Here is a 13,118-nt window from a genome sequence, read left to right on the forward strand (position 1 = left end):
TTACGTATTTTATCATTTTATTAGGAATAATTCCAAATGGGTTATGAAGAAAATGTATTCATCGAATTTGATGAGTTTTCCAAAAACTCTTAATGAAGATATGTCTGCCCAATAAACAAAACATCAGCAGAACTATCATATACTGAGCAAAAAATCAGGCTGATAACAAAAGCAACATGCAACATAAAAAAGACACAATATAAAGGAAGACAATCTGCTGAGTATTAAAAACCATCTAAATATCAATTCTTTGCAACCAGCACAGAACTAATTGGCTATCAAATCCAAACCCCACCAAGGTTAAGTTTGGCTGATGTAGGCCAGGAGTCAATGTAGGGGGAAAAATTTCCTCAGTGCAAGAGAGCTGAGTAGTGTTTTGGATCTTTCTCTGGCTGGTACAAGCAGTATTAGAAAATCTTTTTGGCAAGGGAGAGAAATAAATACAAATGGAATGCTACATTTTTAAATTAGCAAACTGTCTCAGGAATGATAAAGGTATCAGTAAAGTAGCAAGGGGATAACTTTAAAACATTATTTGTCTGGGGCTCAAAAAACACTCAAAACAATTTATTTAAAGGTTGCACAAGAGCTATGTCCAGGCATTTACGCTTATGGGAAGTAAAATTAAAAGAGGATACTTTTTTCCCAAGGAGAATTTCTTTAAAACCAAGCACATTGCTAAATAGCAACATTATACTCGGTAAACAATAATTGGCAACAAAATAAGTTTAATATTCTGCCCAAACCAGTCCCAGATACTGTTTAATAACCAAGATACAAACTAATTTTGTTGTAACAAGCCTAGACCAATTTTATCAAACATGTCCTTGGTTAGATATCCAATTTCATTTAACGTTTTGAAAGCTCATTTGACAGCCAGTCAAGTCCTTCATACAGACCAGTTCCTTGTGTTGCACAAGTGGCTTGAACATACCACTGTAAAGAGAAGACAAGAAAATACTTGATTAACAAAGTTAATATATAACACCAGTGTTTAAACTTTCTTAATCAAACTTAAGAGTCTTTTCACACCTCTTGCATCTCACAAAACTCTCCCATATTTAAAGCTACTTCTGGCTGGGCGTGGTGGCTCACACCTATAAATCCCAGCACTTTGGGAGGCGGAGATGGGAGGATCACTTGAGCTTAGTAGTTCGAGACCAGCCTGGGTAACATGGTGAGACTTTGTCTCTACTTTTTTAGATTAAATTATTTTTTAAAAATAAAGCCACTTCTACCTATTCTGGAGGTTGCAGTGAGCCGAGGCTGTGCCACTGCACTCCAGCCTGGGCGACAGAGTGAGACTCCGTCTCAATCAATCAAGCTACTTCTACCTATTCATTATATTTAGACAAGATTTTCCCCCCTCATTCAGCTTTCTTTTCAGTGCTGGTTTTTGGTTCCCTTTTAGTAAACTTTCTACCACTTAATCTGAAAAAAGAAATCATGGGGAAATTAGTAACTAATAAACTACCCATCTGGTTTTTATAACTCTCGTTTCCCATAAAACTAAACTCAAAGTAGAAGAGGCAAATTTTTGAAAGAGTAGGGTTTGTTAGGCCGGGCGTGGTGGCTCACACCTGTAATCCCAGCACTTTGGGAGGCTGAGGCGGATGGATCATGAGGTCAGGAGATCGAGACCTTCCTGGCTAACGCAGTGAAACCCTGTCTCTACTAAAAATACAAAAAATTAGCCGGGCGTGGTGGTGGGCGCCTGTAGTCCCAGCTACTCAGGAGGCTGAGGCAGGAGAATGGCATGAACCCAGAAGGCAGAGCTTGCAGTGAGCCGAGATCGTGCCACAGCACTCCAGCCTGGGTGACAGAGCAAGACTCCATCTCAAAAAAAAAAAAAAGAAAGAAAGAAAGAGTAGGGTTTGTTGATATTTTAAGGGCAAGCTTTTCAGACAATTTCACCATCTTTAGTCTCATGCATTCCAAAACGTTCTTGCTTTTAAATGGCAACGAATCTTATCTCTAGTAACTGTGTGAAAGTATCAAAAAAAACCTAGAAAACAATTTACATTTAAGGCATAGTTTACTTTTATTAATTTTTTTGACCAGTTTAATGTTGCAAGGCCACTGCAGGTATACCATGTTGCCAATTATTTGAATACCAAATCTCAGTAACCTAGGAGGCTGGGGAAAGGCTCAAATTCATACCTTCACAGCATGGAAAACTTGTATCATTTACAGTTAGTGTTGCTTGCTTATTTATTGATTGATCGACTGATTGTTTTGAGGCAGAGTACTCACTCTTGCCCAGACTGGAGTGCAGTGGCGTGATCTCGGCTCACTACAACCTCCGCCTCACAGGCTCAAGAGATTCTCGTGCCTTCAGCCTCCCAAGTAGCTGGGGTTACACACATGCACCACCACGACCAGCTAATTTTTGTAATTTTAGTAGAGACAGAGTTTTACCATGTTGCCCAGGCTGGTCTCGAACTCCTGGTCTCAAGTGATCCGCCCACCTTCGCCTCCCAAAGTGCTGGGATTACAGGTGTGAGCCACCACACCCGGCCCAGTTTATGTTCTTCAAATCAGCCTGAGATATCTCAAACAGGCAATAGGTTGTTTTTTTTTGTTTGTTTGTTTGTTTTGAGACGGAGTCTCGCTCTGTCACCCAGGCTGGAGTGCAGTGGCGTGATCTCGGCTCACTGCAACCTCTGCTGCCTGGGTTCAAGTGATTCTCCTGCCTCAGCCTCCAGAGTAGCTGGGCTTGCAGATGCCTGCCACTGCACCTAATTTTTTTGTAGTTTTTAGTAGAGATGGGGTTTCATCATCTTGGCCATGTTGGTCTTGAATTCCTGACCTCATGATCCACCCACCTCAGCCTCCTAAAGTGCTGGGATTACAGGCGTGAGCCACTGCACCCGGCCTGCAATAGGTTCTTTGTTGTTTGTTTCATTTTTTACCACAGCCACAGTATTTCCCTTATTTACAGGTTAATGCAAAACTACTGTAAAAAGCCTATGACACTAAGTTTCTGATAATTTATCTCCATCACTGAATCACTGATCAATGATAAGCAATTTTAGAGAAGTACAAATTTTTTTTTTTTTTTTTAAAGAAACAGTCTTGCTCTGTCACCCAGGCTGGGGTGCAATGGGCACAATCACAGCTCTCTGCAGCCTCCAACTTCTGGGTTCAAACAGTCCTCCCACCTCAGCCTCCCAAGTAGCTGGGACTAAAGGCACATGCCACCACACCCAGCTAATTTTTATTTTTGTAGAGATAGGGTTTCACTTTGTTGCCCGGGCTGGTTTGGAACTCCTGGCCTCAAGCAATCCTCCTGCCTTGGGTTCCCAAAGTATTGGGATTACGGGTGTGAGCCGTGGTACCTGGTCTCCTCCATAAACTGTTATGTTAACAAGCAAACAAGGCTGGGCACCATGGCTGGAATCCCAGCGCTTTGGTAGGCTGAGATAGTGAGAGGATTGCTTGAGTCCAGGAGTTCAAGACCAGCCTAGCAACAAAGCGAGACCCCCCATCTCCACTTTTTTTTTGAGACCGAGTTTCGCTCTTGTTGCCCAGGCTGGAGTGCAGTGGCGCGATCGCGACTCACCGCAACCTCCACCTCCTGGGTTCAAGTGATTCTCCTGCCTCAGCCTTCCTGAGTAGCTGGGATTACAGGCATGCGCAACCACACCTGGCTAATTTTGTATTTTTAGTAGAGACAGGGTTTCTCCCTGGTTGGTCCGGCTGGTCTCAAACTCCCGACCTCAGATGATCTGCTCACCTAGGCCTCCCAAAGTGTTGGGATTACAGGCATGAGCCACCGCACCCAGCCCCCCATCTCCACTTTTAAAACAAGCAAACAAACATTACTGGACCCTTAATAAGAAAGCCAGATTTCAAAATATTTGCTGTAGGGTTACTTAAAAGATACAAAATTAAAATTAAGACTATCAATAATCTTCTTTCCATTCCTTCCACCTCTCCCTTCAAAAAAAAAAAAAAAGAAAAAAGAAACTATCAATAATCTTTAGACCTATTCTACAGTAGTTTTCCGTTTCTTTACAAAAATCAAATAAGGTATTTAAAGTTTATTACCATATTTTTAAATAAATGATGTGCTCATTATTTGTCCAAAGGAGATAATAAATGTTTAAACTGAATATTAGCTTACACAACTATCCTAGTAAGTCTTAATAGTCAAGAGGTTAATATCAACCTCCAAATACTTACTGTTCTGTTACGAAGAGACTGAAGCCCTAGTTTATCTGTCATTTCACTGATGGCCATAGCATTTGGCAAATCCTGTTTGTTTGCAAAAAGTAGCAGCACTGCATCTCTCAATTCATCTACCAGAAGCTGGAAATAAAAGGTAAGGCATTAACAACTACCAACCGGAATCCAATTTTTGAAAATGTCTTCCTATATATACTTTACTCAGCATTAAATACATTATTAAACATTAACCTAATTTCTCGACACAAAGTTCACTCTTACAACTGAAGTCTCATATCCTTCAGTTTTTAAATCCAGAGCAAACAATCATATGCCTTCAAATAAGACAGAACTGTTTTCCAAGTCAATCATCCTACACCCCATTAAATTAAAGCAAATCACTCATCATTCAGCCTTCATGATTACCCATTGTCAGGACTGATAAGGGCAAGAAATACATGTGGGAATAAAATGTTTATGGCAGGTTCTTATGGTACTTAGTAGCAGAAGTACTTAGATAGATGATGATTCTTTTCGGACTTCTATCCTTTCCAACAACAGTGGGACAATAACACAATTATCTGGGTGTTGGCAGTATCATGAAATATACAAAAAAAAAGTACCAAGAACAGAAGTTGTACTGATGCATGATGCAATATAGACGAACCCTGAAAAATTATGCTAAGTGAAAAAATCAGTCACAAAAGAACACATTGTATGTTTTCATTTATATGAATGTCCAGAATAGGTGACTGTATAAAGACAAATTAGTGGCTGTCAGAGGCTGGGAGTGTGGTGTACGAGAGGAAGGAAATGGGAATGACTGCTAATGGTCCAAGATTTCTTTGAGGGTGATGAAAATTTTCTAGTATTAGATTGTGATGATGGTTGTACAACTATGTATGCTAAAAGCCATTGATATGCACATTTAAAAAGGATGACATTTATAGTGTGTGAAGTATGTCTCAACCAAGCTTTTTTTTTTTTTTTTTTTTTTGAAGAGGGAAAGCTGGTGACATTTGACTCAGGCAAAAATCCAACAATGACTTAGTTACACATATACTGGCACAATGGTTTTACAAACTGCCCTCTAATCTTAGGAGGAATGAACAAGAATTAAGATTTCATTTCAGTAAATATTTTATGGCTACAAGTTTAAAATCATGACAAGGATTCTCAGCAGTCTTCCTCCATTTAGTACATTTAACAACATGAACACATGAAAACATTAATCCAATCTATGGGAAGGCTGCAAAATGCCACTGTGAACCAAACATTTGTCTCTACTTTCAGAAGGAATTCCTTATCCTTAAATGGTTACTATTAAAAAACATTTCTGAAGTAATTATTGGCACAGCATAGAGAAAATGGAACCGATGACCTTGGGAACAAAACATCTGAACCAAGATTCCTAGGGTCAAAACCACTACAGCACTATAGATTTGATATCTGTAAAGTAAGGGACTGAGCTAAATCAGATATCCTCAGCCAGAGATAGGCATCAAGATTACCCATGAGGCATTCTAAAAAAAAAAAAAACAACACTGCTCTGCCTTCCTCCCAACTTACTGAAGTAGCTACTCTTCCATGTGTTTTTTAAAACGCTCTATAAGAGATTTTGAAGTACATTATTAAGAACCTGTGGATAATATAGTTTCTTAAGTTTATTTCTAGCCCCCCCAATCCATTTGTGTAATCTAATCATAGTCAAAATGTACTAAACCACCACCAGTTTAATCCAGAAAAGCACACCTTGAAAATGATGAATTTAAAGTATATTTCTTACCATTTTCTGCAGCTCATCTGCTACTTCCTGAATTCTTTCACGATCGTTGCTATCTACCACAAAAATAAGACCCTGGGGAAAAATTGTTTCAGTAAATTTTAACAGTTAAACGACACTCTCTATATGAAACAGTGTAGGCAGCAAAATGGTACCAATGGTTAGACATTAGGAAGAAAATGTCTCTTTAAAAGTAAGAACTTAAGGCTGTAATGCTAAAAGCTGATTTGAGAACTATTTGTAAGTTTAATTTATTAGTGCTATTTCAAATCTAAAAAATTTTTATTCTTCACCAATTAATTACTTTTCTCAACTACCCTAAGAATAAATTGTATCTATTTTTCCCCTTCCCTCTGCACTCTCACATTTAAGTGCAGGTACCAAAATAGCCACAAAGTAGGAACAAAAAGAAAAATAACAAATCAAGGATCCTAAAGAATCGTGAATTTGGCCAGGCATGGTGGCTCATCCTGTAATCCCAGCACTTTGGGAGGCTGAGGCAAACGATCAGGCCTGAAATTGCTTGAACTCAGGAGTTTGAGACCAGCCTGGGCAACATGGCGAAAGGTCATCTCTACAAAAAAATACAAAAATTAGCCAGGTGTGGTGGTGCATGCCTTTAGTCCCAGCTACTTGGGAGATGAGGTGGGAGGAATCACGAGCCCGAGACGGAGGTTGCAGGGAGCTGAAATCGCACCACTGCACTGCAGCCTGGGTGGCAGAGCGAGACCCTATCTCAAAAAACAAACAAAAAAACCCCATGAATTTACTAACTGAATTAGCTTACTGACTCAAAGGCATGTACAGAGTAATAAAAGGGGGGTGGGATAGCGCGAGTGTGTACACTACAGTTTTTATCTGCTTCATCATGGAAGGAAAAAATTAACTTGCTTCAGAATGCTGCCTGCCAACTCTAGATCAGGAAGACATCTTAAGAAAATGATAGCAAGAAAAATCCAAGACTGGGCGCAGTGGCTCACTCCTGTAATCCCAGCACTATGGGAAGCCAAGGCAGGAGGATCACTGGAGCCCAGCAGTTTGAGACCAGCCAGGACAATATGTCAAAACCCTATCTCTTAAAAAAAAAAAGAAAGAAAAATTCAAGATTTACCTGATCGAGTAAGACATTCTTTAAAAAAAGGAAGGTAGTTATCAATTCTTAGAGATACAAATATTAGCTTCTTTTCTCAGACAGGGTCTCAACTCTGTTGCCTAGGAGCACAGTAGCACAATCTTGGCTCACTGCAGCCTTGACCCCCTGGGCTCAAATGATCCTCCCGCCTCAGCCTCCCAAGTAGCTGGGACTACAGGTGCGTGCCACCACACCTAGCTAATTTTTCTATTTTTTGTAGAGATGGGGTTTCACCACGTTGCCCATGTGGTCTCGAACTCCTGGACTCAAGTGATCCACCCATCTTGGCCTCCCAAAGTGTTGGGATTACAGGCATGAGCCATGGCACCTGGCCCATTATTAGAATTCTATACTACAAAATAAATGGAAGGAATTAGGAAGCAACTAGTTGAACTGTTTTTCTAAGAACTTTCAAATGGGAAAGTATAGAATTTTCAGCTAGAAAAGGGGGGGGGCAAAAATAAAAATAATAAAAAAGAAAAAAAGATAAACCTTGACTCCTAAAGTATCAATTTTGATCATGTCACTTATAACAGATTGTCTTGCACTACTGATTTATGTAAGTAACGAGGCTGGTTGAGGTGGCTTTCGCCTGTAATCCCAGCATTCTGGGAGGCCGAGGCAGGTGGATCACCTGAGATCAGGAGTTCGAGATCAGCCTGGTGAAACCCCATCTCTACTAAAAATACAAAAATTAGCCGGGCATGGTGGCACACCTGTAATCCCAGCTACTTGGCAGGCGGAGGCTGCAGTGAGCCGAGATGGCGCCATTGCACTCCAGCCTGGGCGACAAGAGCAAACTACATCTCAAAAAAAAAAAAAAAAAAAAGGAACTAGATTACATCCACTAAGGGCAAAGGACTATACTATATCTTTTTTTTCACCCAGGCTGGAGTGCAGTGGTGCCATCTCAGCTCACTGCAAACCCCTCCTCCCAGTTTCAAATAATTCTCCTGCCTCAGCCTCCTGAGTAGCTGAGATTACAGGCGCCCACCATTACACCTGGCTAATTTTTGTATTTTTAGTAGAGATGAGATTTTACTATGTTGGCCAGGTTAGTCTTGAACTCCTGACCTCAGGTGATCTGCCTGCTTTGGCCTCCCAAAGTGCTGGGATTACAGGTGTGAGCCACCGCGCCCAGCCCCATCCTACATCATTTTCTGTTTACCTCTCAGGATTACCACAGTACTGGGCTCTCCAGGAGCATCTAACACTTATTTTACATCCATTAAATGACAATTTCCTTTGTTTTAGCAAATTGTAAGTCCATTTCCTTTATCTCTGTTGGAAACCATAACTTAATTTTTAAATTTTATTTTACACTGCATCTATACCACCTGGAAAACCATCACTTTAAATATCCTATCCTTTGAGAAAACTTTTGGCTGGCATGGCACCTCTAATCCCACCACTTTGGGAGGCTGGGGTGGGAGGATCACATGAAGTCAGGAGTTCAAGATCACCCTGGGCAGAGTAAGACCCTGTCTCTACGAAAAAAATTAAAATTTTAGTAGGGCATGGTGGCACATGTCTATAGTCCTAGCTACTTAGGAAGCTGAGAAGGGAGGATCACATGAGCCCAGGAGGTTGACTGAAGCTACAGTGAGCCATGATCATGCCACTGCACTCTAGCCTGGGTAACAGAGTGAGACCCCATCTCAAAAACAAAAAATAATGTTTGATGCTTTGGGAGCCAATATAGTGTGGTGGGAAGACAGACTCAAATTCAAATCTTATACTACTTGTTATATATATTATCTAATCCTTGACTATGCCTCGTCTAAATAAAATAAAAATACTAACTTCATAAGCTTGTTAAAGATTAAATGCAATCACAGAGATATAAAAGATCATTGTTCTTGGCTTATCATGGGCATTTATTTAGCAAATATGTCTCCTCCTTTCCATATTTCAAAAGCTACTCCTTTTTAGAACCAAACCTTCCATTTTTTTGTTTCTTCTTTTTTTCAAAAAAGAGGCAAGGTCTCCTTTTGTCCCCCAGGCTGGAGTACAGAGGCGCAACTGTAGCTCACTTCAGCCTCCAACTCCTGTGCTCAGGTGATCCTCCCACCTCAGCCTCTCAAGTAGCTGGGACTACAGGAGTATGCCACCATGCCCAGGTAATTTTTTTTTAATTTTTTTTTGTAGAGACAGGGTTTCACTCTGTTGCCTGGACTGGCCTCAAGTGATCCTCGTATCATGGCCTCCCAAAGTGTTGGTGTTTCAGGCATAAGCCATAGCACCCGGTCCTGAAACCTACCCTTTACAAGAGGTAATGCCCCTAAAAGGGACCTAATTTTATTTTGACTGCTAACTTCCCATTTTTATTCTTTTTTTTTTTTTTTAAATGTAAAGACAGGGTCTCACTATGTTCCCCAGGCTGGCCTCAAACTCCTGAGCTCAAGCGATCCTCCCACCTCAGCCTCCCAAAGTGCTGAGAGTACAGGCATAAGCCACTGCACCCAGCCTTTGTTTTAAAATGCAAATAATGCTATCAGTCCCAAAGTGACATTATTGAGAAGGAGAATTATTTTAGGTATTAATCCCTAATTATTTTCTTCCTGGAACAGCCTAGAATCAAGAGTGAAGAAAAGCTAGGATTCTACAGATAAGCCCAGCTGCTATGAAATTATTTGAAAAGCCAAATATTTACTTATTTACAATGGCAAATTAGTTGGAATTATAAGAGGAATTTACTACACACTGTGCCATGGTTTGTTAGTATAAGTTAGAAACATGGTTAAAGCTATAGTTTCTTTTAAATTTTATAGCTAGGAGAACTGATCAGTAATGCTGGGAATGCAAGCTAAGAGCTTAGCTTTGATTCTATCAGGTAACACATAAAGCTTTCCCCAGCTAGCATGAACTCCCTAGGAAGCAGTACTTAGACTTTTAATTCTCAGATGGTCCAAAGAGGCCAGAATTGGGTCTAATTTCAAATTAAGAATGCAAAGTAAATTACAAAGCATTCTAAACAAATCTAGGGATAAACCCAGGGTTACCCTTGGTCAAGAATTATTAGGCTTAAGGATTAGCAAGGTTTTACTTCATATCTAACTCTTTCAAAATATATTGGCCAAGCGCAGTAGCTCATGCCTGTAATCCCAGCACTTTGGGAAGCCCAGGCAGGTGGATCACATGAGGTCAGGAGATCGAGACCAGCCTGGCTAACATGGTGAAACCCCGTCTCTACTAAAAATACAAAATTAGCCAGGTGTGGTGGCGCATGCCTGAAGTCCCAGCTACTTGGGAGGCTGAGGCAGGAGAATCGCTTGAACCCAGGAGGCAGAGGTTGCAGTGAGCCAAGATTGCGCCATAGCCTGGGTGACAGGACGAGAACTCCATCTCAAAAAAAATAAACAAACTGTCTAGAGGGTAGAGCACATTAGAGATGAGTATGAAACAACACAGCACTGCTTATATCCTAGTAACTGAAGCTGCATAATACATACATGTGAGTTTATTATGCTATTCTATTTGTAGGTGTACAGATTGAGTTTCCTTAATCCAAAAATCCAAATCCAAAACTTCCCGAGCACCAACATAACAAAGAAAAAACTCCCTGGAGTATATCGGATTTTGGATTTCTGGATTTAGAATGCTCAACTGGGTACAATGCAAATATTCCAAAACCCCCAAAATTCTGAGATCAGAAACAGTGGTTTCTGGTCCCAAGAATTTCGGATAAGGAATGTTCACCTTGTATTTAACATTTTCCATAAGGAAGCTTTTTAAAGCATGTGCCTCTGTATCAAGTATCTTTTCTAGTCACAGCTATATTGATGACCATAAACATTCTACTATTTTTTTTTTTTTGAGACAGAGTCTCGCTTTGTCACCCATGCTGGAGTGCAATGGTGTGATCTCGGCTCATCACAACCTCCACCTCCCGGGTTCAAGTGATTCTCCTGCCTCAGCCTCCTGAGTAGCTGGGATCACAGGTGCGCGCCACCACGCCCGGCTAATTTTTGTATTTTTAGTAAAGACGGGGTTTCACTGTGTTGGTCAGGCTGGTCTTGAACTCCTGACCTCGTGATCCGCCCGCCTCAGCCTCCCAAAGTGCTGGGATCACAGGCATGAGCCACCGTGCCTGGCCTAAACATTCTCGTTTTTAAATAAAAAAGTATACCACTTATTTAATATGACATACTATGTAAACCTGGTTGTCCCAGCCACTCACCTAGGGTATTCACTGCCACCTGATGGCAATAAACCCCACTTGTATGCAATGTTTTAAGAGGCTGATAACAAGATGACATTGCAAGTCTTAAAAATATAAAGTGGCAGTGATATCACACTTAAAAAAAATTATTAAGTAATAAAAAAAAACTGACAAGAAATTCCTTGGGTGGTAGAAAACACAATCGAGGTGGGACCAGGTTAAACAAAGGTAGAGTGAGAACAAACTCTCCCATCTTGGGTAAGTCATTCCAAGTTTCAGTTTCCTCATATGTAAGAGAGTTAGATTAGAACAGTGGTTCTCAGCAGGGAGCAATTTTGCCCCCAGGGGATATTTTGCAGGTGTGGAGAGATTTTTGGCTGCTACTTGAGGGCAGCTGCTATTGCCATCTAGTGGGTAGAGGACAAGGATGCCACTAAACAACCTACAATGCATAGAGAGCCCTCCCCATACCCAACAACAAAGAATAACCCAGCCCAAAATGTCAATAGTGCTGTGCTGTAAGATACCAGACCAGTAGTATCAGCACAACCCGAGAACTTGCTAGAAATACAGAATCTCAGGCCTTAGCTAGGACCTATGGACTCAATGTGTATTTTTAACAAATACCCAGGTGATTGATATGCATATTAAAGTTTAAGAAACACTACTGTACCTGGATTATATCCCCTGATATTCTGATTCAAGTCATCTAGGGGATGATCCAGGTCTTGGGATTTTCAAAGGTCCCCATGTGATTCTTACGTGCCACCCCCAAATTTGAGAACTCCTGTTCTACAGGATCACTAAAGTCTCTTCCATGCCAGTATTATATATACATACTATGTGGCAATATAAAAATATCTTACAAATCAATGCAGCGAACTGACTTTACTGTATTTAATAAAGTAAACAAGTAACTGGGCTAAACAAAGGACTATCAATTGTCTTACATTCATCAGAAACTACAATGACAGTTTATACAGACCTTACTTTCTAAACTAAGATGGAAAGCAAAGAACTACGGATAAGAGACCTAATTCATTCTTGTGAACTACACCAGCACCCACCCCATCTTCCAAACACTTACCGCAATTGCTTTACAACTCTTCCACCCTATATAAGTTAGCCTTCAAGGCCTAAGTGAGAGTCCACTGAAGAATGTGGAAGTGGTGATAAGACAAATGCCAACTCATAGTAAACACCAATATCCAAGTAAATACTAGATACTAATAAAAACTTTAGAGCATGAAACCCACAAAGAAAAGTTATAAAAACATACAGTATCCCTTACCTGGGTATTCTGGAAGTAATGCTTCCAGAGAGGCCTAATTCTATCTTGACCACCAACATCCCATACTGTGAAACAAATGTTCTTATATTCTACTGTTTCCACATTAAAACCTACAAAGAAAAACAAAAATGACCGCTGTGCAGCGTCATTAAGAAAATAAAACCTTTTATTGTGGAATTTTCTTAGAATAGTGTTTTTAAAGTACTTCTTTTTATTTTTAAAAAATATATTTAAGCCTAAACATCAACAGAGACAAGGCCTCATTATGTTATGCAGGCTGGTCTTGAACTCCTGGGCTCAAGCAATCCACCCGCCTCGGCCTCCCAAAGTGCTGGGATTACAGGCATGAGCCACCACACCCGGCCTGTTTTAAAAGTACTTCTAAGATAATCAACATGCTTAACAAAAAGACAATCTCAAAACTAGACTGTATATATTTCACTTTACAACATATCATGATATAAAGTCATCTGTAAACTTTCTTACCAATGGTAGGAATGGTGGTGACTATCTCCCCTAACTTCAGTTTATACAGAATGGTTGTCTTGCCAGCAGCATCCAATCCAACTAGAAGAAGACATTA

At 40.4% G+C, this 13,118-nt stretch overlaps 2 protein-coding genes across 2 annotated transcripts in view; one reads left to right on the forward strand and one right to left on the reverse strand.

The window, feature by feature from the left end:
• The window catches only part of PDE12 (phosphodiesterase 12), a 100,222-nt gene that overhangs the window by 15,089 nt on the left and 72,015 nt on the right, over positions 1-13,118 (forward strand). The gene's annotated exons all lie outside the window — the stretch shown is intronic.
• The window catches only part of ARF4 (ARF GTPase 4), a 25,982-nt gene continuing 12,864 nt past the window's right edge, over positions 1-13,118 (reverse strand). The window contains exons 2-6 of the mRNA NM_001660.4: positions 13,022-13,102; positions 12,536-12,645; positions 5,954-6,025; positions 4,186-4,311; positions 1-936 (exon numbers count right to left, since the gene is read on the reverse strand). Of these exons, the coding sequence (NP_001651.1) occupies positions 850-936; positions 4,186-4,311; positions 5,954-6,025; positions 12,536-12,645; positions 13,022-13,102 (476 nt within the window). The 3' untranslated portion in view covers positions 1-849. The remainder of the gene's footprint in view (positions 937-4,185; positions 4,312-5,953; positions 6,026-12,535; positions 12,646-13,021; positions 13,103-13,118) is intronic.

Source organism: Homo sapiens, chromosome 3, assembly GCF_000001405.40.
Source record: "Homo sapiens chromosome 3, GRCh38.p14 Primary Assembly".
Lineage (NCBI taxonomy): Eukaryota > Metazoa > Chordata > Mammalia > Primates > Hominidae > Homo > Homo sapiens.